This window comes from Homo sapiens, chromosome 2, assembly GCF_000001405.40.
Source record: "Homo sapiens chromosome 2, GRCh38.p14 Primary Assembly".
In the NCBI taxonomy this organism is placed as follows: domain Eukaryota; kingdom Metazoa; phylum Chordata; class Mammalia; order Primates; family Hominidae; genus Homo; species Homo sapiens.
The window spans coordinates 7,366,511-7,393,322 of record NC_000002.12 but is presented as its reverse complement, the minus strand read 5'-3'; the positions used below and the strand labels follow the sequence as shown (position 1 = coordinate 7,393,322).

The window sequence follows — 26,812 nt, the reverse complement described above, 5'->3', positions numbered from 1 at the left end:
GGGGTTGTATGTTCAGCTCTCCTGATGCAGATGACCACAGGTGCTAACTTTCTTCTAGAGTCAGGGCACTCTTTCCACATGATGCCCCCTCTTGGTCTCTGCTGCAGGGTGATGACAGCTTCTCACTCCTGGTCTTGCTTCATCTTTGTTGTTTTTCCCTAAACACTACATGTCATTGTAAACAATGTGTTTTTAAACCCTCCTCCATATCAAATTTGAATGTGCCAGTTGTTTTTTTGCAGGGACCCATGATTGCACAGTTATGGTACTTGGGTATGTCATTTACATTACTTGTGCCTGTAATCCTCTTTTTCCTTTTCTAAAACTTAGGGGAAAATATTCCTGCTCAGATTGCTTCATGAGCTTATTAGTGTATAAAATGTGAAAATACACAGGTGAATGACTTTAAATACTTAACATTTTCATTCAATCCATGTATATTGAAGGCTTTGTTTATGCAAGACATTATAAAAAGTCATGATGCAAGAATACAAAAATGAATTCGGCATAATCTCTGCAAACTGATAACTATAGTGGAAGGCCATGGTGAAAACCAAAACTGATACCAACAATTTGACATGTGAGTTTAGTGTAGCTAAAATTGGGGGAAGAAGGGGTGTGAAAGCTTCCAGCAGAAGATGTCATGTGAACTGGATATGAAAGAATGTATGAAATTTGATGCCAGGATGGAATTGCTCATCAAGGATGAGAGAGTCATGCACAAGAGCAAGAGATCTGGCAAAGACTGGCCATCACCTGACAGGCTCCAAGTACTCCATGTGTTTTCTTATATGACAGGTTTCAAAATGAGAGTCATGTTCTTAATGGGCTGCTCCTGAGGCTCTAGCTCAGAGGTTGTTTCTTCAAGTGTGGTCCTGAGATCAGCAGCAGCCACCTTACCTGGAAACTCATCAAGAAAGACAAATCATCTGCCCGCCCCTGACCTGCGGAACTGGAAACTCTTGGCGTGGGTGGAGCTCACAGCCCTTGCTTAGCTTCGACCTCCTCCTCCAAACTGGAGATGACATCATCAACCTGGCAGGGCCACTGGGAGAATGACATGAGATAATACTGCCGAAATGTGAAACTAAAGACTGCTTCTCTTTAGTGAAGCTCTATTCACTGTCTCGAAGCTTCAGTGTACGGAGGGGGCGCATCCCACGGGCATTCTCTCCAGCTGCCCAGGTGGGTTTCATTCCCGTACTACACTCTGCTTCAGACTTACCGAGAGCCATTCTCCACAGCAGGACTTTCCTATCCTCTATTTGGGAGATTCCTTGGTCAATGTCTGTGTCACTGAGTCTCACTGATTAGACAATAGACCCCATGATGGGAGACACCTGGCTTTTTTTATTCCATTGGATACGTAATGACTATAGCACAGTATATACTCAGTAAATAGTTCTTGACTGACTGCATGAGAAGTCCCTGGAAATAGTTACTGAACTTTTAAATAATCATGCAAACAAGATCCAAAGAAATGTCACAAATAGCTCCTAACCCCTTAAAAACAAACAATTCCAGACACCTAGAATGAACAAAGCAGTGCTAAGTCACTTTTCTCATGAGATTTTTCACCAATAAATTGTGAAGGTGAGCGTCTTGGCCATTAAATACTGCCTCAGCCAGCCACTCTCTGCCATAACTTAACCACATTGTCCTGAGCTTGATCCTTCTGTCTCTATCTCTGTACACCTGGGACACCTTGCAGGCTCAGACTTTAACTCTGGTACCCTTGCACCTGTTCCGCCACCTGCCCCTCCACCGGGTTACTGTTTCTCTATTCCTGAATTGTGAGGCTGCCTTGGTGTGACTCTTTCTGTTTTATCCTCAGCTGCTATGGAGCATTTTCTCTCTCTCATTCATAAGTGTGTGTGTTTACAAACACATACTTACATTTCTTGTATGCAATGTGAGTATATATATAATGGCATATAGATAGATATAAACATATATCAATATAGATATAAATATACATCAATAAAGATTTTTATTTCATGATAAATAAAAATATATATCATGTATATAATGTGAGTATATGTATAATGGCATATAGATAGATATAAATATATATCAATAAAGATAGGCTATGTCCATGTTTGCTTTTTGTCTTCTGATAGTGGAAAAGGTGTGACTTTCTGACTCTATTTCTGTCAATTAGCAATTATCAAAAGGCATTTAGATGATTCAGCCATAACTGACTTCAAAACGCCAAATACGCTGCAGTCTGATTTCCCAATGCTTGAAAAATTGGGGTGTGATAACAAACTGACAGGATGATTGTCTGCTGCCCATGTCCTGCTCTATGACAGCTGGACTTTGGTACTTCCCAGAAAAATACCAACAGACATGGAGCCTGCAGAGGTCCTAGAATTCTTGCAGTGCTCAGTGCCTGACACAGTGCTTTTCAAAGTGTGGTCCCTGGATCAGCAGCATAAGCATCACGAGGGAACCTTTCAGAAATACAGACTCTGGGGCCCTACACTAGATCTACTGACACAGAAACTCTGGAGCCGGGCCTAGCAATATAATATTTGGCAAGATAAACTGTAACCCACTAGGAGTTTAAAAAATATATATATTTAACAAAATCTCTAAATGATTCTGATGCATACTGATATGGTTTGGCTGTGTCCCCATTCAAATCTCAACTTGAATTGTATCTCCCAGAATTCCCACGTGTTGTGGGAGGAACCCGGGGGGAGGTAATTGAATCATGGGGGTCAGTCTTTCCCATGCTATTCTGATAGTGAATAAGTCTCATGAGATCTGATGGGTTTATCAGGGGTCACTGCTTTTGCTTCTTCCTCATTCTTTCTTGCTGCCACCATGTAAGCAGAGCCTTTCACCTCCCACTGTGATTCTGAGGCCTTTCCAGTCTTGTGGAACTGTAAGTCCAATTAAACCTCTTTTTCTTCCCAGTCTCGGGTATGTCCGTATCAACAGCATGAAAATGAACTAACACAGTAAATTGGTACCAGTAGAGTGGGGTGTTGCTGAAAAGATACCCAAAAATGTGGAAGCGACTTTGGAACTGGGTAACCGACAGAGGATGGAAGAGTTTGGAGGGCTCAGAAGAAGACAGGAAAATGTGGGAAAGTTTGGAATTCCTAGAGACTTGTTGAATGGCTTTGCCCAAAATGCTGAAAGAGATATGGACAATAAAATTCAGGCTGAGTTGGTCTCAGATGGAGACGAGGAACTTGTTGGGAACTGGAGCAAAGGTGACTCTTATTATGTTTTAGCAAAGAGACTGGCAGCATTTGGCCCCTGCCCTAGAGATTTGTGGAACTTTGAAGTTGAGAGAGATGATTAAGGTATCTGGTGGAAGAAATTTCTAAGCAGCAAAGCATCCAAGAGGTGACTTGGGTTCTTTTAAAAGCATTCCATTTTATAAGGGAAGCAGAGCATAAAAGTTTGGAAAATTTGCAGCCTGACTATGTGATAGAAAAGAAAAACCAATTTTCTGGGGAGAAATTCAAGCCAGTTACACAACTTCACATAAGTAGCAAGGAGCCTAATGTTAATCCCAAAGACCATGGGGAAAAGTCTCCAGGCCATGTCAGAGACCTTCACTGCAGCCCCTCCACTGCAGTCCCTCTCATCACAGGCCCAGAGGCCTAGGAAGAAAAAGTGGCTTCATGGGCCAGGTCCAGGGTCCCCATGATGTGTGCAGCCTGGGGACTTGGTGCCCTGTGTCTCAGCTGCTCCAACTTTGGCTGAAATGTGCCAAAGTGGAGCTCAGGCTGTGGCTTCAGAGGGTGGAAGCCCTAAGCCTTGGCAGCTTCCACATGGTGTTGAGCCTGTGGGTACACAGAAGTCAAAAATGGAGGTTTGGGAACCTCTGCCTAGATTTCAGAAGATATATAGAAACGCCTGGATGCCCAGGCAGAAATTTGCTGAAGAGGTGGTGCCCTCATGTAGAACTCTGCTAGGGCAGTGTGGAAGGGAAACATGAGGCCCAAGCCCCCACACAGATCCCCTACTGGGCACTGCCTAGTGGAGCTGTGAGAAGAGGGCTACTGTCCTCCAGACCTCAGAATGGTAGATCCACTGAAAGCTTGCATCATGCACCTGGAAAAGCCACAGACACTCAATGGCAGCCTGTGAAAGCAGCCAGGAAGGAGGCTGTACTCTACAGAACCACAGGGCCAGAGCTGCCCAAGACCATGGGAACTCATCTCTTGCATCAGCATGACCTGGATGTGAGAGACCTGGAGTCAAAGGAGATCATTTTGGAGCTTTAAAATTTGACTGCCCTGCTGGATTTCGGACTTGCACGGGCCCTGTAATCCCTTTGTTTTGGACAATTTCTCCCATTTGGAATACCTGTATTTACCCAATACCTGTACCTCCCTTGTATTTAGGAAGTAACTAGCTTGCTTTTGGTTTTACAGGCTCATAGGCAGAAGGGACTTGCAATGTTTCAGATGAGACTTTGAACTGTGGATTTTGGGTTAATGCTGAAATGAGTTAAGGATTTAGCGGACTGTTGGGAAGGCATGACTGGTTTTGAAATGTGAGGACATGTGATTTGGAGGGGCCAGGGGTAGAATGATATGTTTTGGCTGTGTCCCTATCCAAATCTCAACTTGAATTGTATCCCCCAGAATTCCCACATGTTGTGGAAGGGACTCAGGTGGAGGTAATTGAATCATGGGGAATGGTCTTTCCTGTGCTATTCTCATGATAGTGAATAAGTCTCATGAGACCTTATGGGTTTATTGGGGGTTCCACTTGTGCTTCTTCCTCATTCTCTTGCTGCTGCCATGTAAGAAATGCCTTCCACCTGCCGCCATGACTCTGAGGCCTCCCTAGCCATGTGGAACTGTAAGTCCAATTAAACCTCTTTTTCTTCCCAGTCTCAGGTATGTCTTTATCAGCAGCGTGAAAACAGACTAATACACATACTCAAGCATGTGAGCCACTGTCCTAGTTAAATATTTGATACTAATCGTGTACCAATATTGTCTATGATTAAAGAGAAGAAGCTCCCTGCACATCTATTTCACCAAGTAGCTATATTGGGGTAAGAGATAAGCTGAAGCCAGGGGCAAGGTTTTAAGCCAATTATGGTATTGATTCCATAGCCAATCATCCACCCTATAGAGGCATCATATGGAATGCTGGGTCCATGTTTTTAAACAACTTAAGGAATGGATGATGGTCAGGAGGGGGGTCACTGGGAGGCTCTGTGGTGGCAACCAGTGGCTGTGTCAGTGTTTACTGCCTGACAGAAGGGCTGCTTGGGAAAGAGTCAGAACTGGAAGTCTGTAGGATGCAGAGCCTTCTGCGTGTATGCCCCCAGGTCCTCACTGGCTCCCATGACCCTGTGAGGTGGCAGAACAATAGCAGTCATCTCTTATTCCATACTCCATTGACTTTCCTAATTGGTTGATATAAAAATGAAGGCAAACCTAAGGTTGCTATCACAACCTCCCCCATCTTCCCACCCCCACCATCACCAGGCTGGCAGCTTCCAAACCAGCCTTGGCTTGGGAGAACTGTAGACTTCAGGGGTGTATTTGTCCATTCTCTCATTGCTACAGATAACTACCTAAGACTGGGTAATTAATGAAGAAAAGAGGTTTAATTGACTCACAGTTCCACAGGCTGTACAGGAAGCATGGCTGGGAGGCCTCAAGAAAGTTACAATTATGAAAGAAGGTGAAGGGGAAGCAAACAGGTCTCACATTGTCAGAGCAGGAGAAAGAGAGGGGTGGTAGTGGTGAGGGGGTGTTACACACTTTTAAACAATCAGTTATCCTGAGAACTCTATCATGAGGCAGCACTACGGGGATGGTGCTAAACCATTAGAAACCACCCCCATGATCCAATCACCTCCCACCAGGTCTCACCTCCAACACTCAGGATCACCATTCAACATGCGATTTGGGTAGGGACACAGTGAAACCGTATCAAAGGTCAGGCAGGAAAAAGCACATTTCCAATCAGCATGAGGTTCCTGAGGTCTCTAAACTTTCAAAAGGTAAGCGCCACTGAACTGGACTAGGGATTCCATTGCCACCCATGAACACTCATGCCCCTTGGGAACAGCACCCAAGGCAGGTAGACAGTACATGTCCGGTGGGCCTGGATTCCAACTGGGGCTCTCCATTTAATAGCCGAATGAATTTGAGCATTAAGCCTCCCTGAGGCACAGTTTTCTCATCTGTAAATGGAGAGAATTCTATCCAACTCAAAGGATATGTATTAGTGAGGATTCTCCAGAGACACAGAGCCAATAGGATACATAGAGAGATAACAAGAAGGGACTTACGGGAACTGTCTAACATGATTATGGAGAACCGGGGTAGCTGGCAGGGTGACTCAGTCCATGCCCAAAGGCCTCAGAATCAAGGAAGCTGATGGTGTAACTTTCAGTCAGCACTGAAATCCACTGGGGCCAGGAGGGAAACCATGGCACTGTTGCAGGTCTTGGAGTCCAAAGGCCAGAGAACTTGGGCTTCTGATGCCCAATAGCAGGAGGAAAAAGTCTGTTCCAGCTCCAGAAGAGAGAGAGAAAGAATTAGCCTTTCTTCTGCTGTTTCGATCTATCCAGGCCTCAGCCAATCCGAGGCCCACCCACATAGGGTGCCTGCAGATCTTGCCCCGTCCACTGATTCCAATGCCAGTCACTCCTGGAAATGCACTCACAGACACACCCAGAAATAATGCCCCACCAGCTATCTGGCATCCCTTAGCCCAGTAAAATGCACACCTAAAGTTGATCATCACAGAGTGAGAGTGAAGAATAAGTGATAGAAAGGGCCTAAGAAAAATGTTGCCATTGTCGTAGGAGCTCAATATTTTCTTCCCTCTCCTTGAAACTTTGGCGACCAGGACATAAAGGAGGTATGAATTCAAATCATTTCCAAATATATTCTCACATGCTGCTAGTGTCTGGCTCTCAGAATCACTCACCTGTTTCTTCATTTATCTACCTGTTCATCCCCTGCTATCCTGTATGTTATCAGCCATCTCAAAAGTGTGGGCCAGCCTCTGCCATGTGCATGAGAGGCCTGCGGGACAGAGGCACCCGGGAAAGGCTCCTCTCCCACTCCCACACCTCCTTCCCTTAATAGCTCATCCTTCCACCTTCCACCCCTGATGCTGAGAATTTATCTTACTTTTTCTCTACTCAGACATTTAGATCTCTAATGCAGATGGGATTTATTATAATAAACTTTTAAAGACAGGTATTGTGTATCTATTTATTTCCTACTAGAATCCAATAGTCTCTCTCTCTCTCTCTCCTTATTTCTTTCTGTCTCCTTTATCTTTCTGTCTTCCCCCTTCTCTCTCTCTCCTCACTCTTTCTTTCTCTCTCTACTTCTCACTCCTCCATCTCTGTCTCCCTCACCTGCTCTCTCTCTCTCTCTCTCTCTCTCTCTCTCCCTTCCTTCCTTCTCCTGCTCCACAGCCTTTAATAGGGTGCTCTGGATCTAGCAGGCCCTCATTTTCTGTGGTTATAATGTGGATTAGAAAACCAAGAAATGAGGCTGTCTTCCTGGCCTGAAGAAAATGGTTGGAAAAGTGTAAGTAGGAAGTCTCTCAAGTTGGCTCTTCGTCTTTTCTATGCATTTTTTGCAATTATTGTCTATAGTCCATTTATAAAAAACTCTACCTATTGTATAGCTTCAGCTTTAAGTCCAAAGTGCTGCATTTTTTAAAAAACACATCTATATTTAAAGTAAACGCATAGAGATGGATCCAGAAGTTGCAAAGATTATTTACATCAAACCCTGAAGTTGGAGCAGTTTCAAGAAACCCCAAATGCCTGTAGTTTTTCCCTCCCATGTGTTCATTAAAGTCCTGAAATGGAGTAGTCAGACTGCTTGGTTAATTGAATAAGTGGTTATTTGACCAGTCAATGAAAGACTGATAATAACAGATAGTTTGGGGGTGGTGGTGGACTAGGTTGTATTTGCTTGAAACAAACAAATGTAGACCTCTGTGGAGTGGAAACAGTTCACTCTGGTGCCTTTCAGGACAACGTTTCTGATGGTTAAGTTTCCCCAGGGAGGAAACTTTAGGGCACAGCCACACTTCTGCTTTATCTGCTGAAAGCGGTCACCTTATGTCCACAAGTTTTTTTTTCTCCTGAGGTTGGGCACAGCAGATGCTGGATAAATCAAGACAAACCCCACGTTTTACACCCCTCAACTCCCACCCAATGTGCCAGCCCAGCAGAAACATGTGCAGTTTCCGAATAGCACCATGAATTTGCACATATGGTTTTGACGTCCTAACATATTTTTGTCTCCTTTATTTGACTATCTCTTACTTGGTTTTTAGGATCTGGTGGAGAAGCCCTTCCCTTCAGGAAGCCTTCCGGCACCGCGCCCACCCCAGCCGCAGGCTCCAACACCTCTCATAGCTGCTGTCACGCTCCCTGTGTCTTCTTGCCTTTGTGTCCATCCAACTGGACAGGGAACTCCATGAGGCCAGAGAGTGTCTCCCAGCATTATACCCCTGGAAATATTTTTTTTTTTATTTTTAATTGAGGTAAAATACACAAAACGTAAAATTTATCATCTTAACCATTGTCAAGTGTACAGTTCAGTAATGGTAAGTGTGTTCAGGTTGTTGTGTAACCAGTCTCCAGAATCTTTTTTAATTTTTCAAAATTGAAACTCTGCACCCATGAAACAACAGCTCTCCGTTTCTCCCTTCCCCCGGTGCCTGGAAACCATTATTCTATTTTTTATCTCTAGGTACCTCATGTAAGTGGAATCCTATCATATCTGTCTTTCGGGACTGGATTATTTCACATAGTAATACCCTCAAGTTTCATCCGTGTTGTAGCATGCATCAGAATGTTCTTCCTTTTTAAGGCTGAATGACTATTCTATGTATATATCACATTTTGTTTTTTCATTCGTGAGTCAGTGGACATTTTTTGGCTATTATAAGTGATGCTGTAATGAACATGGGTGTACAAACACCTATTCAAAATCCTTATTTCAATTCTTTTGGATATGTCTCCAGAAGTGGAATTGCTGGATTCTATTTTTAACTTTTTGAGGAACCTCTATGCTGTTTTCTGTAGAGGCTGCAGCATTTTACATTCCCACCAACAGTGCATGCGTATTACCATTTCTCCATGTTCTTGTCAACAGTCGTTACTTTCTTTTTATCTTTATAGTAGCTAACCTAATGTGTGTGAGGTAGTATCTCTGGCAAATTTTCAGTGAATGATAAACATGGACCAAAAAAGATGGATTTCAAACTTACTTCTGATGATATTGAAGTGGCTATTTCCAGCATGGATGGGAGGAGACCAAAATGTGTGCACAAAGACAGCTTCTCATTATCCTTAGTGGTTTTCAGTCTTGGTGCTCACATTTGAGAGATCCATGTTGCTTCAAACCCTAAAAAACTGAGGCAAGATATGAGACCTGCTCTTCTGATTATTGCAATGGTAAGACATGAGACCAGGGACTGCTTAATTTCCCACACAGTGCTCTGCCAATCTGCCCTCTCTCCTGTCATTCATCTCATCCTCGGTGCTTTGTGTGAAGGTCCCTGCCCACTGTGATTTCATGAACTGAGCAGACCTAGCTAAAAACTGAAACTTAGGATCAGACCAGAGCAGTCAGAATTCACAATTCACTCCACTTATCCTAAAAATATCTTCTTTCAGTATTGCATCTGCCTCCAAAACTACTGCCCAACCTCCTCCCTTCTCCATTTTTTTTCTGGATAATTGAGATGAGCAAACACTAGTTGAGTTTATCATGGACAAGGCAATGCTCCAGTAAGTTTGCATATATTAACATACTTACCATTTATGAGAACGTACAAAATAGGTTATCACTGACATCATCATCATCGTTGTTTTCTAGATGAGGAAACTGGAACACAGGGAAGTTATGTAACTTGCTCAAGATCACAGTGAAAAGGTGGTAAAGCCAAAATTCAAAGCTAGGCAGCCTGGATTGAGAGTTGGCCATCTTAATCCCAACACAGCTGATAAAATACTCTTACACTATTTCATTCATACCCTTCTCTTCTTTACCAAAATTACTAAAAGAATAGTTTTCATTTGCTTCTTTCATTTCTTCCCCTCCATTTACTCTTCATTCCACCACATACAGCCGTACCCTCTACTCCTGCTCCCTGTGTCTCCTATGATCCCCTGGACCCCGCCCACCAGCCCTGGGCATCACCACCCTCATTTCTAACCATTAGCTCACACTCAACACGCCAGAAATTGAAAAGTGGGAAATTTGGGGAAAATTTTTCCCTAAACCTGCTGCTTGTTCTATCCCCTCTCTCTAAGCATGGTGACGTTGTCCATGCTCTTAACCCTAGCCAGACATCTGAGCCTTATCCTCTCTCACCTCATTTTGATGATGTCAAGACTAAGACTAATGTATTTTAAGTTGGCAAATGTAACTATTACCTTCCCGTTTTAGTTTTGCACTCTTTTTCTCTCCACTTTATGGCAGACAGAAATTTAGTAGCATTTTGAAGGCAGCCATGGACCAGCACTGTCTGTCCCACTGTTTTTCAGCAGACACAGGCATTAATCCAGACCTGGGATTGCCATCCTGTGAGAACACACAAAGGAAGACATTCGGTGAAGAGGTACCCTCTTCCAGAGGTGCCCCAAAAGGGCAGACCATGGCAGCCTCACCTTTCTGGTTTTGAACTAGGTCCCTCTTCTTGAGGGCAGTGCAATGGAATAGAGACAGCACCTCCCTGGGCAGCAGGGGAGCTGGCTCCAAGCCACACGCTGGTGCCATGACCAGCTGCCTACCTGATGCCCCTAATCTTCAGTTCCCTTCTCTGTGAATTGCCAGCATTAACTCTCCTGAATGCTGCACCACAGGCTGCAGCTAAGCACTTTGTGAGTTTCAAGGAGAACTCAGGGGTGAGGGGGTCCTTTCTCCTTGACAGAATCTGCAGACTGTGGTCACAGTTTCCTAGCAACCGTCTCCATCAGGTGGGAGTCACAAGAACACACATATCGGGTGGAAGAGTGGATTTTCCTTTCTCATTTTCCTATGATTGGTCTTAATAATGAGGGAAACCAAAGAACGCATAGGAGTTTTCCTGAGCTATTTCCTCCGCTGATGAAGACGTGGCTTTTCTGTGTCCCCAGTGTCCCCTTATGCACCTCTTGGGACATGGAGATTAAGGAGCAGAAGACATGGGCATTCTGGGCCCTGGGGTCACCCTGCAAGCGACACCTTCAGACCCTGTTTTCCATTCCTCTTGTGTCCACCAGGCCCAATCCTATTCAAAGCTGCTTGGGTCACCTCAGATTAAGTCACTGCTATAAATAGAATTTTGTCCCCCCAAAATTCCTATGTGGAAGCCCTAGCCCGCAATGCGATGGTAGTTAGAGACAGGGCTTTGGGAGGGTCATTAGGTTGAGATGAGGTCATGAGGGTAAGGCTCCCATGATAGGATTAGTGCCCTTATAAGAAACAGCTCTCTCTCCATCTCTTTGTCTTTCTCTCCCTCTCTTTCTCTGCAGATGCACCAAGCAAAGGCCATGTGAACACACACAATATGATGTCTGTTTACAAGACAGGAAGAGATGCTTCACCAGAGCATGACCTTGCTGGCACTATGATCTTGGACTTCCAGTCTCCAGAACTGTGAGCAAGTACATTTCTGTTGCTTACGCCAACAGAAGTGTGGAATTTTACTATGGCAGCCCTAGCTGACTGAGACACTCGCCATTCTCTTTGAAACTAGATGCCACCAATGTGAAAGTCCTTACATTTTCCTGTGAAGTCTCCACATGTGCATGCTGAGCTCCTGAGAACAGACCCTGTCTTATATGTGACTCTAGTCACAGGCACTTCTGAGTACCTGCTCTGTTAGCCACTGTGCTAGAGGGAACTGAGATGAATCCTGCCTCATGGAATCCAGAGGAGATAGCTGTGCATGCTAAGAACTAGAATGATACACAGAATGCCAGGCAACCTCCACTATAAATGGTATGAAGGGCCTGATTCTTAGAACTTCTTTATCAGGTTTGCTTTACTGATTGAAAAACAATCTAGAATATCAGTGTAAAAAGTTAAAAAAAAAAAAAGAGTTTAGAGGAATAGAGTTTGCCCAAGACAGTTAGAGGATACAGTCCCCAAGACCTCTCTTACTTCTGACATGAACCTCAAGGTTGGCGGGGGGATCCACAAACTACCCTCAGTTTTGAAAATTTACTAGAAGGGCTCACAGAACAGTTACACCCATGGCTTTGGTTTATTGCAGGGAAAGGATACAGATTAAAATCAGCCAGAGGAAGAGATGCTTAGGGCAGAGTCTGAGAGGGTTTCAAACAGAAGCTTCAACGGCCCTCTCGCCTTGAAGTGAGTTCACCTCACCCTCCTGGCATCAATGTGTGGCGATAGGCAGGGAGTGCTGTCAACCAGGAAAGCTCTCCTGGGTGTCTCTATTCAGTCTTCCTGGAGCTCTAGTCTGTAGGATTGAATGAAACACTTGAGGTGGTGATTGTTTTGTCCCTGAGTCACTGGATCTGGATGACTCTTATCAAAATTGATGAAGGGGACGATAGGGGACTGGGGAATTTCTTTAATAAGCTGGAGGCAGGAATAAATTGCCATTTAAGCCTCACTCCCAGGCTGAGTCCAGAAAAATTATTTTTAGGTGTGTATCTATGCTAGGCTGTAGGGTAAATACAATAGGCTAGAGAAAGAAAAGTTATTTCTTAGAAGTCAAGTATTCATGAAGTAGGCATAAAATAAAACTATTCAACTAAGTGCTTTGGATACATAGTAGAAAAAAGATATAAAAATATTTTGAATCTAAGAAAGTCAAGACGTTATGTGACTCAAGATGGTCTGCATGTGACAATAGTTGCCAAAGCATGTATTGTGTTGGAACCGCTCACCACACCATCAGCTGAAAGAAGGTTGAGACATTTGGTGTCATATCTAAAGACCTTTTTGATCTGGCCTCGGCCTATTTTCCTTGGGGGTTGAGTGCTTTCTCTCACCTCCTTTGCCTTTGCACATGGTTTTCAATCTATCTGAAAGGAAACGTGAGCCAATACTACCACTACCAAAGTCTTTTGGCCTTATGAGCACCATGTTTTCTCAAGCCTCACCCCATGTATAAAGCCATCCCCAACTCCTCCAGGTATAGTCTTGGGACATTGACTTCCACAGCTGTTCTTCACCTACCTTCCCCAGTCTCCACAGAACCACCACCACCACCACCACCACCACCACCACCACCACCACCACCACCATCACCACCACCATAACCACCACCACCGGCAACTCCAATGTCATGGCTTTCCTGAAGCCCGTGCAGTGTCCCTAGATGGTGCCCCTGCTGCGCTTCCTTCCCATGCTCCTCTTGAGAGAGATGTCCATACTCCCACATGTAGCAGAGTTTATATAGAGGCTTATACTCACTCCACTGCCAGACTGCAATCCTTGAGAAGAAACACAGATGTTTGATTCATTGTTGTATGCCTACAATGACCAGCATCTAATAAGAAAACTAGCATTGATAGAAGGAGAGAAAAGAATAGAGCAACTCTGCAAGAATATAGGTTGAATAAGTATGTGTTGGCTGAACAATGTAATTTTATTAACGAGGATACGTTTTACCACTATTTACATAGAGGCTATTGTACTCTGCTGGAACTCTCATTGCATTAGTTTCCTAAGGGCTGCCCTAACAAAGTACTACATCCTGGGTAGCATAAAATAAGAGGAATGGCTCCTCTCACAGCGTTGGAGGCTAGAAGTCAAGTCAGGGCACTGGCAGGGTCATAATCCCTCTGAAGCCTCTAAGGGAATCTCCTTCCTTGTCTCTTCCAGCTACTGGTAGCCCCAGCCTTCCCTTGGCTTGTGATACACAACTCATATCTCAGCTTCTATCCCCACATAGCTGTCTTCACATAGTCTTCACTCTGTGGACACCTGCCTTCACATTTTCTTCTTTTTATAAAGACACTTGTTCTATTGTATTAGGAGCCCACCTCACTCCAGGATGACTTCATTTTAACTTAACTAATTACATCTGTAACATGACTTAGTTTCCAAATAAGGTTGCATTTTGAGTTTCTGGGGTTAAGACTTTCACATATATTTTTGGAAGACATGATTTAGCTTAATACTGGTTTTACTCTTGCATAGACAGGGTGATTTATACTTTCTTGCAGTGTCTATGTAACTTGAAGCCTTAATTCATTAAGATTAGTGTGATTTTTATTTTGTTACTTTTTCTTCATCCACTCATTTCCTTTGTCACTTTAAAATATATATATATTTTAAAGTTGAGACAGCAGCCAGGGCTGTAGGCAGAGCCTGACTCTGATGGCCCTCTGGCCCTTCAGATGGGCAGTTTCTCAGTGGCAATGACAAGAAACCCAGGCAGCCACACGCACACACATGCCACATGGCTTTGCAAACGAGCGGTAGAGGCAGGAATATCTTCAAAGCATATGGAAAGCAGGGAGATGAGGAGGTGCGCTGGAGCCAGGACAGTGACGAGCTTCGCAGGGCTCTGGCGTGCAGGGGAGGGGACAAAAATAACCAGCAAATCCCTTCTCTGCGGAGAACCACCAGTGAAGAGGATCGACAGACAAGTGACGGGAGGAAACAGGACGTGGATCTGGGCTTGCAAACCGGACAGGTTGTGGCTCCAGATGGCAAAAAAGGAAGAAAAGGAACCATGAGCAACAACAACAGTTTTATTCAGTTTGAACATTTACAAAGTTTTCTTTAATTATTACTCCCTTCTGGGACTCCAGCTGCACAAAGAGTTGAGGGCAGACGCACCAGGGAGGCCGGCTAAGCCAGGAGCTGGCGGCACAGCATCTACTGAGCCCGGCCAGCTCGGGACATGAGTGGGCAGGAAGCTCTTGATTGTGTTTTCCAAGGGACTCAGGTGACAGTCTGTCAGGACGTGTGGCTTGGGTTTCTCTCCCTCAAGGTACAAGTGCTTTGAGCTGCGCTGAGCAGACAGCTGGGCTGAGAGTGGTGTGTCTCACTCCTGGTCAGTCACTGCCCCTGGGGGCAACTGCGTGAACGGCTGCCTGGCAGGATTTTCCAGGCCTCTGGCAAAGAGCCAGAATATGCACTGTGCAGAAGAAGCCAGGCACACTGGATGGGAGTGTGGAGAAAGCAAGAGTGGATGTTTTCAAAATATTCCTCTGCAAAGACAGAAACTCCCAGGGCAATGTCAGTTCCTCACCTGCAGTTGAGTGTGTGTGTGTGTTTGAAAGGTAGGACTGCGCCCTGCCAGAAGTACAGGGGGTGGAGGCTGTGGAATGCAGCCTGAGCCTCGCTAATCTCTGCTCAGAGCCCAGGACAGCTGCTGCTGCTCTGAGAGCCTGGGTCTTCTCATATGCCCCGCAAGTTCCAGTCCTCTGGAGAGAGAAGTCTGAGGTATGCACACACAGAGGGCAAGGCTGCTATCTGCTCGCACAAAAAGCACATTTACCATCACCCAAAAAGTGCATCCCCAGGCAGGCCTGGGCCGCTATCTTTTCAGTTGAAACCATGACAAGTCACGTTCACAGGTGTGGATGCCAACAGATTCTAACCCAAGCATGAGAGTCTTTGACTTGATTAAAATGTTGCACCACATGCAGTAGAGATATATGGTGTTTCTTGGTACACATCTGTATGCATTCCTCTGCCAGTTGCCCATCTTTGCTGCATAATATTTCTCTATGATATGAAATTATTTTAGACTCCAAATAATTATACCTTGCTTTAATGGAGTGTTTTTATTTGAGAGATCAAAATCTTCAGTGCCGTCATGAAATTGTTTTCTTTGTCCTTACAGAATATTTCTTTTTCTCCTATGCATGCCCCACTGCATATAGAGGTGTCGTAGACTCTGAACTCCTTGAAGATATGGTCCAGTCTTAGCATGATCTGTTTCCTCATTTCCCAAAACAGAGCTGGATACAGTAAGAACCCAGTGATTATTTATTACAGCAAACACAATGAGAGCCAGGCACCCTAGGTGTGAACTCAACAAGCCTGTGGACATGAAGTTGATGCTATCAGTCACCAAATAACCTCTGAGAAACACAGAGTACAGAGTCAGCATAGCAACCTCTAAGGGCAGGGCCTGAGTCCCACGAATCTCAAGGCCAAGGTGGTGGAGTGATCAGTTGTTGGTAGGTGTCATCTGACGGGAGGAGTGGGAGCCTGGAGGAGAGGCAGGGTGCCCTGCCAGATAGGTCTTTGACTGAAAGCCATGCTGATTCTGATGACAGTTTTTGGTGATTTTGGATAAATCTCTTGGTCCATCAGGGAAGACATTCCAGGTGAAGAGAATGCCCCGAAAAAAAATGAGAATGGTCATTTCTGATGACAACATAAGGAAGCCAATTTGCAGGAGTGAAATGTGCTGGAGATAAAGAAGTATGTCAGCTTCCAGCAATATCTTCTCCACTGAGCAGGGAAGACCACTCAAGGCTCAGACTCTGAAATGATGTGAGTCTTCAGAGGTTGTACCACTTCCCTAATGAGAACACACCAAAACCTCCACATCAGCAATGGGTCATTCTGTCTTTCAGCTAAAAAAAAAAATCATTGAAATTTCAAAAAAGGCAGTGTAAGGGGCAAAAACATTTTGGATGTTATCATCTCAAAGGTTGCAGCAGATTCTAGGAACAACAGGGAAGTCTCATGTGCACAATGCAGGGGCCCATGCCCTGAATGCTTCAACCAACTCTGGTTTCATAGAGAAAATGGAGAAATGCTCACTCCAAGGCCAGCTTCGATGAGCCTGACATTGAACAAGATACACATGCTGGCTGCCTTGGATGGCAGCTAGGACCGTTCCATTTATTCCAGGGCAACTAGAGTGTGGTCTGGAGGCCCAAATGTCTCTTGTCTCTCACACACTCTGGAGTCTCAAGCCCTGTTGACCACCCGGCCTTTGTATTGGACTCCTTTTATCTCTTCCCTTGGTCTGCAGGCACAGCAGGGCTGCTCAGAAAGCCCTCTCAAGACTATGTTAAGTAAACCGAAATTCCATCATATTACAGTCTCTCAAAATAATGAAGGCGTTCTACAGACCAACATGTGGGTGATTTAGATGCTTCACTGTCAGCCATAGACTGAGGGAAGGTTAGAACTTCTTGTCCTCACTTTGCACAATGGGCAGCAGAGGTCTTGAAGGGAAGAGACACACCAGGGTCACACAAGGAATGGGAGGCAAGGCAGGGACTCTAGGCCTGGCTTACAGCTCCCAACCCAGTGACTTCAGCACCAGATGGTTGCCAGGCACTGAGCATGGTGAGTTCACTGGCAATGAAACAGCATCCCAGGAAAGGCTTCCAAGTATTATAACTAATTAAAGGTTTGCATGAAGTTGGATGGTTGGCATTGAGCTGCTCATGCTTTTGACATTTTTCCAGATTAAAAATAATCCACCATTCATTGTATCAGAGATCTTCCATGTGCCCTCAGTTCTCAAAAGTGATTCCAGCCTTGGTCTCCCTTTTGCTAAACTAGTACTGTTTTGGCCCAAAGTGAAAACTCGGCAAATAAGGCAATTGGAACAGATTGGGATTGCGAGGCAGTTTTTCTTTTGGATTCTTTCTCTTCCTGCCACCTTTTCTCTTCCTCTCTTCTTTCCCTGTGTTGCTTTCCTTTAGTGTGTTACAATCAGAGAGACTGAGGCTCTTCAGAAATTCAGAATTTTGTCCAGTGGAAATACTGGCGTGAACACAAGACTCATTCATTAATTCATTTTGGCATTCAGATGATCAGTTATTCTTTTATTCTTCAAGTCAATAAACAGGCACTGAGCACTAACTCTCCGTAAAGTGTTGTTCTAGGAACCAGAGATACAAAAGGGAGTAGGGCCTGGCTTAGGCTAGACTCTAGAAAATAGAGTCTGAGGCAATGTTTGCATATTATTTCAATCCCAGAGAAGCCAGGATGAAGGAACAGGGCATTGACAAGAGAAGAAGGGCAAATACAAAGTGGGCATTACCCAGCTGACCACTGCTTCCCAGAGACTCACCATGGTTCTGGGCATCCCATGGGACATCTCTGGGTAAAAGGTACAGTAACACCACACCTGGGAGGCATTCAACAGGAAGAATAGAGAAAGGTGTGCTTCCTGGCTCTCCCCAGGCTCTTGGGCCCCATGAGTCACAGTTTGTCTTGCAGGATGTCAGCTCCCCTGAACCTCTGGGCTGGGCCACCTGAGTCCTTGGGCAGCTACTGAGAAAGTGGGATTTTATGCCCTGGATATGGCCATTCTTCTGATTCCAGGATCCAGCAGATAACTGAGGGCATGAAAGACAGGTGAGGCCTGGAGAATCCAAGGTCACAGGTACACAAAGTCGAACAATGGTCTTTAAAGGCTTCAGGGTCAGTGTGGGAGAATGAGAAATAATAACAGTAAACTACTATGTACTAAAGCACCAGCAATGTGTAAGGCACTGTGGTAAACACTCTATATGAATTATTTAATTTAATATTCACCAAGAATAACAGGTGATTTCTACAAATAACGTGGATTAGAAAACTAAAACATATAATACTGATGATTTATCCAGGCTGTTTAGCTGGCAAGCTATAGAGCTGACAGTCACATGCACAGGACCTGTGGTTACTTCCCAGGTTTCCTCCTAGTTATTGCCACAAGGCAATGCCAGTGCTTTCTTAGGGCCCTGTTAGTGTCTTCAGGGGTTAACCCTGAAGGCTGTGGTCTCGGAGGCTATGTGGCAAAGGCATGGATGGTGGCCTCCTCTAGAGCTGCAGGTGCCATGGTCCCCATCACCCTTGGTGCATACTTTGAACTTGCTCTGACAATGCAGGGAGTGGGGGCGGCTAGTGGTAATACTAGAGTGTTTTCTCTAGAAATTTAAAACAAGCAAATGTATTTACACTCTACAAATTCAACACTTAGAACAGTGCAGAATAATAGAGACTTTAGGTCGGTGTTGAGTTTCTGAAGGATCTCCATGTAGATAGGGAAATTTTTCTTCACCAGGGTTCAGAACAAGTTGAGAACTAAAATAAAAGAATGGCAGGTTGAAGCCAAGATAAGCCCTGGATCACTGTGGTGTCTATGTTGACAGACATAGGCAGTGTGAGAGCCCAAGGGTCCTGCTAGGAAGTGTGATGCCAGGTTTAGGCATTTAACTACCATCCCTCATGGAAGCATGGATCTTAGCCTCCCCAAACCAAAGACATCCATGAAGAGCAGCTCCACACCATCCTCCAAGGAGCAGGGGAATAAAAGGGAGAAGTGATTTGGATATTGTTTGATACCCATTCCGGTCCGCAATTTAGAACTCACCAATGTAAGAGTGTTCTGTGAGCATTTAGAGAGGAAAGCAGGATTTACCGAGCTATTTGACTGCATCTGTAAAAGAAGACTGTCTAGGACAAGGGAAGAGAGAGAAACACTCCATCTTGGGCCATAAATTCACTTTGGGACACCATCTCTTCAGTGTGATAACCTGGAGGTCATTCAAAATAGAATATCAAAATAGTGGATATGTTCAAAGCAACATTGTAAGAGAAGGAATAGCATAATCAAATTGTTGCTGTTTTGCTATTTTTTACAGTTTATTATTTTAAAATGTAAGTTTCTGTATAATTTTCACTATTAGAACTAAATATTCATGGGAATCAGTGTTCACTCTTCCCCCCCTTTCTTTGTTAAGTTTTCATTTTATTTTTAATAGCTTCATTCAGATATAATTAACATGCCATACAACTTACCCATGTAAAGTGGATAATTCAATTTTGTTAGTGTACTCACAGAGTTGTATCACCATTATCTCAATAAAATTTAGAACATTTTTATCAAAAAAAGGGGGGGAGAAGTGAGACCCAGAGGCTAGGAAAACCCTTCCCCTGGAAACCATTCCTGTATAACAGTAGGCTAAGCCAGGTTAAAGGGACTACAGAGCTCCCAAGCCATCTAAACTTGATGGAAGCCTATTTATAGCACAAGCCTGGATAAGGGGAATCTGTGAGGGGAGACTCCTGGGGTGAATGTGAGAACATTCCATTTGTAGAGCACCTGCCATGTGCCAGGCTCTGAGCCAGTTGCTTTCTCCAGACCATGTCTAATCTTCGCACACTCTAGAGGTGGGTATTACCACTATTCTCATTTCACAGGTGAGGAGCTGAGCCTCACAGATGAAGTTAAGTGTATGAAGACCACATGGGTAGAGGGACTTAATCCCAAGCCTGGGTGGCTTTCTATGGTCATGATTTTACATGTCTGAATTGCTGGTGCCCATCCAAACTCTGCCAGAGGAGGACTGTGCCCCTGCCTAGATAGAGGCCAGTTGCAAGGTAGAAGCCCCCAGTGGTTTCAGCCTGATGCCAAGGACAGTTTTTTCCTTTACTACATCTCTCTGCTTGGGTTGCATTCTCCACAAGCAGCCCTCTGATTATGATTTGGCTCCCATGGGGCTTTTCTACAGGTAGGGATTGTGATAGTCTTACAGGAGTGTCTGTATCTGGTCTTTCCAACAGATGCAGCTCCCCCTGCAAATTAATAAATCATGATTCTGGTTATGACCATTGGTGTCTGGGGGATTGGTTTGTCTTGATCAGCATCCCTGAGTCTAGTTAACCCTGGGGTCCTCGGGAGACAAGTTCACAGACCTGAAGGCCAAACACTGGCAGAGCCAGTGGGATTTAGGGGACCTGGAAGCTCCTATAGACACCTCCTTTAAAATCGGTCCCACCTTCACCTTCAGACATCCACCCACTATGTCAAAGCACCCAGACCATCTCCTCTTCATTTTACAACTGCTTTATGGCTGTAATAAAAGAAAACAGGGATTTATTTAGGCTGTATAGTGTGTTCATGTCATGCATTCTCAAATAAAAAAACACACACACACGCAAGGTGCCAGGCACTGTGTCATGTTATTACAATCCAGAGATGACAAAGACAGAGCCCCTGCCTTGAAAAGTCATACAAGTTAGTACAGAAAACTGCATGAAACAGATCATCATAACACCACTTAGCAGGTAAAAGGAGCTTTACAGGAGAAGTAGGGCTGTTTCCAGGAGAAGAAGGTGCAGTGGGGGAAATGATGTCACAGACAGAGGCAACACAAGAGCAAAAGCCTGGGATGATCAAGACCCACCTGCACATTTGCGGGGCCTCAGGTATGCTGTGAGGCTCAGGAGTAGACCGAGAAAGTCTGCATGAACCTGTGGGCCTCCTCATGTGGCTCCAGGAGCTCTGAATTTCTGTAGAAAGGTTAACGAGAAGTGCTATTGGTTCTTTGTGGCTCAGAGGCACTACAAATTGTGACTGTCTTTGGCCTTGGCCTGGATTCCTAGAGCCAGCATATTCCTTAAGTTATTCCACCCATTTCCAGTCTCCATTTGTCTTCCCAGAGTGGGAAATGGTTTGCCCCCGCTGATGAGCTGATCAGTAGCGGAGCTGAGACCAGGGTCTGGCTTCTTGTTCAGGGATAGTTCTTTTGTGATTCTGTGCATTGCATGGACTCTGCTGGCTCTGGTGCTTCGATCTTGGCATTAGAGCATTTCTGTGTACTCTCTGATAGCACTCATCACAACCTGTGAATGCTGATTACTTCTCCTTGTGTTTTCCATGTTTTACTCATCTTCGTATACTTAGTACTCAGTGTCACATCAAGCCCAGAGGAGGTGTTTTAAAGTGTTTGATACACGAATGAACAAATGCAGCATCAAAATAGTGCTTTTGCAAAACTGAGAATAAAGCGGATTAAAAAAAACTGTCAGGAAGATGACAGTCTTATTATAACCTGCATTATTTTAACTGGAAAGAACTACCAAGATGTCAAATTATTGCACAACTGCTGCCGACACATTGATTTGACTTTTCTTCTGACTCTCAGAGCCCTCACCCATTTTGTATCAGTCCTCTTACTGTTTGTGCACTGTGCATTCCACTTCCTCCTGCTTCCGCTAATTAATGTCTCTGAGTCTGGCCACAAGCTACTCTCCCGTGGAACACTGTGGAACGCATTAATCACTCCCTGCCTCTAGCTGTGCTCCTTACCTATATGAAACCATATTGATCTATTTCTCCTTGGAACCCCAAAACACGCATTGTTTTCACCCGTAATTGTCTGTTCTGCTTCACTTACACGCGTCGTTCATTAATCAACTGGGCTGTTTACTTCGTCATAATAAATGGAGCCTGTGGTAGCTTATTGTCGCTATTGGGGGTCCATAGCAAAGAGTTAGAAGTTTGTATAGGTTAGTGACTCTCAAAAAGTGAGTCTTCAGATTATAAGGCCCTCAAGGCGGGGGCTTGCAGGGAGGCTCCTTGTATTCCTGAGCGTTTTTGTTTTTGATCATTTTGTTATTAAGAAATCTAAGATCTGGATATTGAGTTTATGAATGGTTCAAGTTCAAGGTCATTGATTAGGGCTTTTCATCTGCAAACTTTACCAGGATGTCCTGTTGGTCTCCCTCATTGCCAAAGATCTGATTCCTTAGATAATGGAAGCAGAGGGACAGGGAAAAAAAGACGGTTTCTCTTGTATTTCAGGAATGACTTCATGGTGAAGCTTATGCATTAGTTCAATGTAAAATCCTTGGAAGGCACCAGGTTCCTACCCTAGCGGTGAGAATGATAGTGCCAGGTAATCACTACTCTCCAGGAGATTTGCTTCAGGGACAGTAGGGCAGAGAAAAGGAGGCCCAATCAGTCTGAAGGATCCAGGAAAGGATGTTCTGGTGCTTGGGCTGATCCCTAAAGGGTAAATGAGCTTTGACAGGAAGGTACTAAGGTCAGGGTGACAACAAGCACCCATGATCAGAGGCATGGGTGAGGATGGCTTATGCTTGGAAAATCAAGGAGTTCTGATTTTCTGGTAATAAAGGACATAGGGTCAGAGGGGATGTCATGAGCCATACAGATGGGAAAGTCCACATCCCACACCTTGAGTCTGGATTTTATTCTGAAGGCTAAGGGTGGTCCTGAAAACACTAAAGTGTGTGTATGTGTGTGTTATGGGGGTGGGAAATAATGCATTCTGATATCTGAGCCAGAAAGTGCCATCAGGCACCTGTGGGAAGTAGATTGGAAGGCCTTCAGATGGCGGCAGAGGCCAGTTGGGTGGGGGTCCTGAGAATAAGGACCCCTCCAGCCATCTCGCAATCTATGGGACCCCTCTTCCCAGCAGAGCTTACAAACCAAAGAACCCCTGCTGACTGCCCCCAGTCCTGCTAGAGGTGCAGACGCTGGGGGAGCTGTCTGCGGCCCTAACTGTCTCTCATCAGTTGCCCAGGAGGCTCATCCAGGCACTTCAGAAGGCAACTTCCTCCTGCGCTCTCTCATCAATTGCCCAGGAGGCTCATCCAGGCACTTCAGAAGGCAACTTCCTCCTGCGCTCTCTCATCAGTTGCCCAGGAGGCTCATCCAGGCACTTCAGAAGGCAACTTCCTCCTGATCCGGCTCCTTCCTGCAAAATTCACTCAGAGTCCTCTGCAATCGGACTAGACACATTCCCTGGTGTAGACCCAAAGCTCTTATGTTCCTGGCCCCCAACTCAGTGTCCTGCGCTCTCCTTCAGCTCTTTAACCCCCAGGCTCACCTCCTGATTCTGCAGAACAGAGTCCAGAGGCTCTGTCTCTCAGTTCCTTTACTCCACTCAGATACCCTGTGATCTTGTAAACTTGTGAATGTCTTCCCAGTTTCTTTGCACTAGATTCAAAGATGAACTGGGAGAAATGAGGGGATATCCCATTACCTTCCTTCCTCCCCGCCTCCACTCCCTTCCTTTCTTTCCTTGTTTTAATTATAAAGTGATAGATAGATAGATGATAGATAGATAGATAGATGATGGATAGATAGATAGATAGATAGATAGATAGATAGATAGATAGATAGATAGATGATGGATAGATAGGAGAATGCAGTTGAAATGGGGTCTCATGCATGTACTCTCAGATAGGAATGAGAATCATGTCAAAACATTTGAAGCCGCCTGTGCCCTTCTTGGCTCAGTCCCCTTTTTCACAGTGTGGAGTTGGCCACTCTCCTCAACTGTGATTTTACCATCCCTTCCTATTTAAATAAGAATGACTTTTTCATAAAAGTATGACTCTCTAAACAACATATTACCTTTTGAAACTTATATAACCGCAATTATGTAGTATTTGTTCTTCACAATGTGTTTTCTTTCTCCACTCCACCTTTCTTTCCATGTTGATGTCAGGCACCTATAATTCATTGATCTTTCCTGCTTTACATAGTGATTGCAGCCACGGTATTTTTTTTTTCTTTACTAAACATTGTCTGTGTTCCTTCAATTGACATTTGGGTGGTTTTCAGTCTCCTGCAGCAACCGGTTCTGCTGTGGACATTCCTGAACCTGTCTCCATTCCTGCACAGGCAGTGTTGCACCACGACCTCAACAGTAGTGAGTATTCTGGGTACCAAACATACAGATATGAAAGAGTTTTTTATTACTTTCACATATAAACCTTAAGCTATATGAGATGTATTTGTGTGTAGAGTCTGAAATAGAAATCTTCTTTTATTTTTCCATACAATCATACATCTTTTCTGGCTTCATGTATTGAAATTTTTTGACCATTGATCTGTTTCTGGGTTCTTATTTTCTGTTCCACTCACCTATTTCTATCCTTGTGCACAACTGTTGTCTTTACATTGCTGTATTTTTATGCATTAGAATGAGCTCTCAGTGAATTTAACTCCTTTTCAATATTTTTAATATCTTAATAATTTTTTTCATGAATAAGATGCATTTATTTAGTATCAGACTTATTTTTAGGTATTTTACCTTCCATCTTTTGGGTAGTTTATCTATGTGGTAGAAAAGTACAGTTGACCCTTACATAATGATTTCAAATTCATCAGTCTTGCTACACGCTTATAATAATGCTAATGATTTCTATATAAAGGTATAGAAATTTGTGTTTTCTTTATAGAAAATCACAGCATCAGCAAATACTGACAATATTGTTTTTGACTTCCCAGTCTATCAATAATTTTTCTTGTCTTATATCTTGGGCTTAAATATTTAGTAAAATGTTGCATAGCAGTGTCCTGGTGAGCATCCTTGTCTTTTTCTGAGTTCAGAGGAAATTATTTAACTTTTCTCTACTTAATGAAATATTCTAATATATTAAGGCAGTTTTCTTCTCTTTCCATTTTACTAATCATTTTTATCATAAGTGGATGGTAAATGTTAAGAAAATTATCTATGTATATTAAGATCATTTTTCTTCCTAAATGTGTTAATATTGTAAGTTGTATTAATGGATTTTTAAATGTGAAACTAAATCATGAATTTCTGGAATAAACCAAAATGTTTCATTTTATATTATCTTTTCTATACATTATTAGATATGGTTTGTTAATATTTTCTAGATTTTTCCCACATATATTTAAAAATTAAATTTACTTTTAATATTTTTTCTTGTACTAACTTTGCCTAGTTTTGGTGTCAAAGTTGTACCATCTTTACAAAATTAATTGGAAAATATTCCCTCCTCTTTTACTCTCTGGGAATGTTCACCTATAATTAGAATTATTTATTCCTAGGATGTTAGAGATTGCTTATCACACTGTCTAGGCTTGTCATTTCCTTCCTGAAAATATTTTGAGCTACTAATTCATTTTCTTCAATGCTTATAAAACTGTTCTTTTTCTCCATTTCTTATTGAGTCTGCTTTGGAACATTATTATTTTAAGAAAGTTTTCTGTTTTCTCTGTTTTGTTTAAATGTATTGATGTAAGGTTGATCAAAATATTCTCATATTTTAGATCTCTACTATCTATTTAGCAATGTTTTCTTTTTTATTCCCAATATTTGGTTATACTTTCTCTCATTTTTGCCTATTAAATCTTATTTGAGGTTTATCAATTTTTATTAGGAAATTACATTGTAGCATTATTAATGTGACCATTGTATCTTGTTTTGCATTCATTTCTGGCCTTTCCTATCTTTCCTTCTATTTTTTATTTTTTTAATAATTCATTCTCTATACATTTGATGCTTAGCTTATTAATTTTCAAACTTTTTTCAAAAATATAATCATTTAAGTTTATTAACTCTTTTTTAAAATATTAAGATGAATCCTCTAAGTTTGATATGTTTGATTTTTGTCATTGTACAGTTTTTTATTTTTATTTTTATTAAAATTTATGATTTCTTTCTTTCTTTCTTTTTTTTTTTTTTTCCGAGATAGAGTCTCGCTTTGTCACCCAGGCTAGCATGCAGTGGTGCGATCTCCACTCACTGCAAGCTCCACCTCCCAGGTCATGCCATTCTCCTGCCTCAGCCTCCTGAGTAGCTGGGACTACAGGCAGCCACCACCATGCCCGGCTAATTTTTCTGTATTTTTAGTAGAGACGGGGTTTCACTGTGTTAGCCAGGGTGGTTGCAATCTCCTGACCTCATGATCTGCCCACCTCAGCCTCCCAAAGTGCTGGGATTACAGGCATAAGCCACCGCGCCTGGCCCTAAAATTTATGATTTATTTCTTAACTTAAGGGTTGGTATAATACTGGATAACTTGACTGTGTTCCCTCCCAAAACCTGATAATCATCATGGGCAATTGAGAGGCAACTGAGATTAGTAAAATTCTTCAAATCCTTTTTCTTTAAGGTATATAAACCATAACACAAGGCTTAATGACATTTCAATGCCTCACTACTGTACATATTTTACATCCTAAATAAATAAACAAAAAAGAGATATACGTAGGACAAAAGAAATATCTTTGCTAAAATACCCGATATAAAATCTTGGATGTGAAAATCACTTGTGTTTTGTTTATAGTTCTTTAAAAGACTTTTGCTCACATTCTACCTTTCAGAACTTTCACTAATTCTACGTTA

At 43.3% G+C, this 26,812-nt stretch overlaps 2 long non-coding RNA genes across 4 annotated transcripts; both read right to left on the bottom strand.

Annotated features, from left to right (window-relative positions):
• Positions 1–5,800: 5,800 nt before the first annotated feature.
• LOC105373406 (uncharacterized) lies at positions 5,801–13,145 on the bottom strand. 3 transcript variants are annotated; one of them, XR_922747.2, is made up of 5 exons: positions 10,409–13,145; positions 9,789–9,857; positions 9,238–9,382; positions 8,288–8,475; positions 5,801–6,506 (listed from the first exon to the last, which is right to left on the bottom strand). It is a non-coding gene; the product is annotated as an uncharacterized LOC105373406 (long non-coding RNA). The 3 variants fall into 3 exon arrangements; XR_001739271.1 differs by having other exon boundaries at positions 9,238–9,857; XR_001739270.1 differs by having other exon boundaries at positions 9,238–13,145.
• Positions 13,146–14,668: 1,523 nt separating this feature from the next.
• LOC107985847 (uncharacterized) lies at positions 14,669–25,294 on the bottom strand. The gene is made up of 3 exons (XR_001739269.2): positions 24,067–25,294; positions 21,089–21,194; positions 14,669–20,755 (listed from the first exon to the last, which is right to left on the bottom strand). It is a non-coding gene; the product is annotated as an uncharacterized LOC107985847 (long non-coding RNA).
• Positions 25,295–26,812: the final 1,518 nt, after the last annotated feature.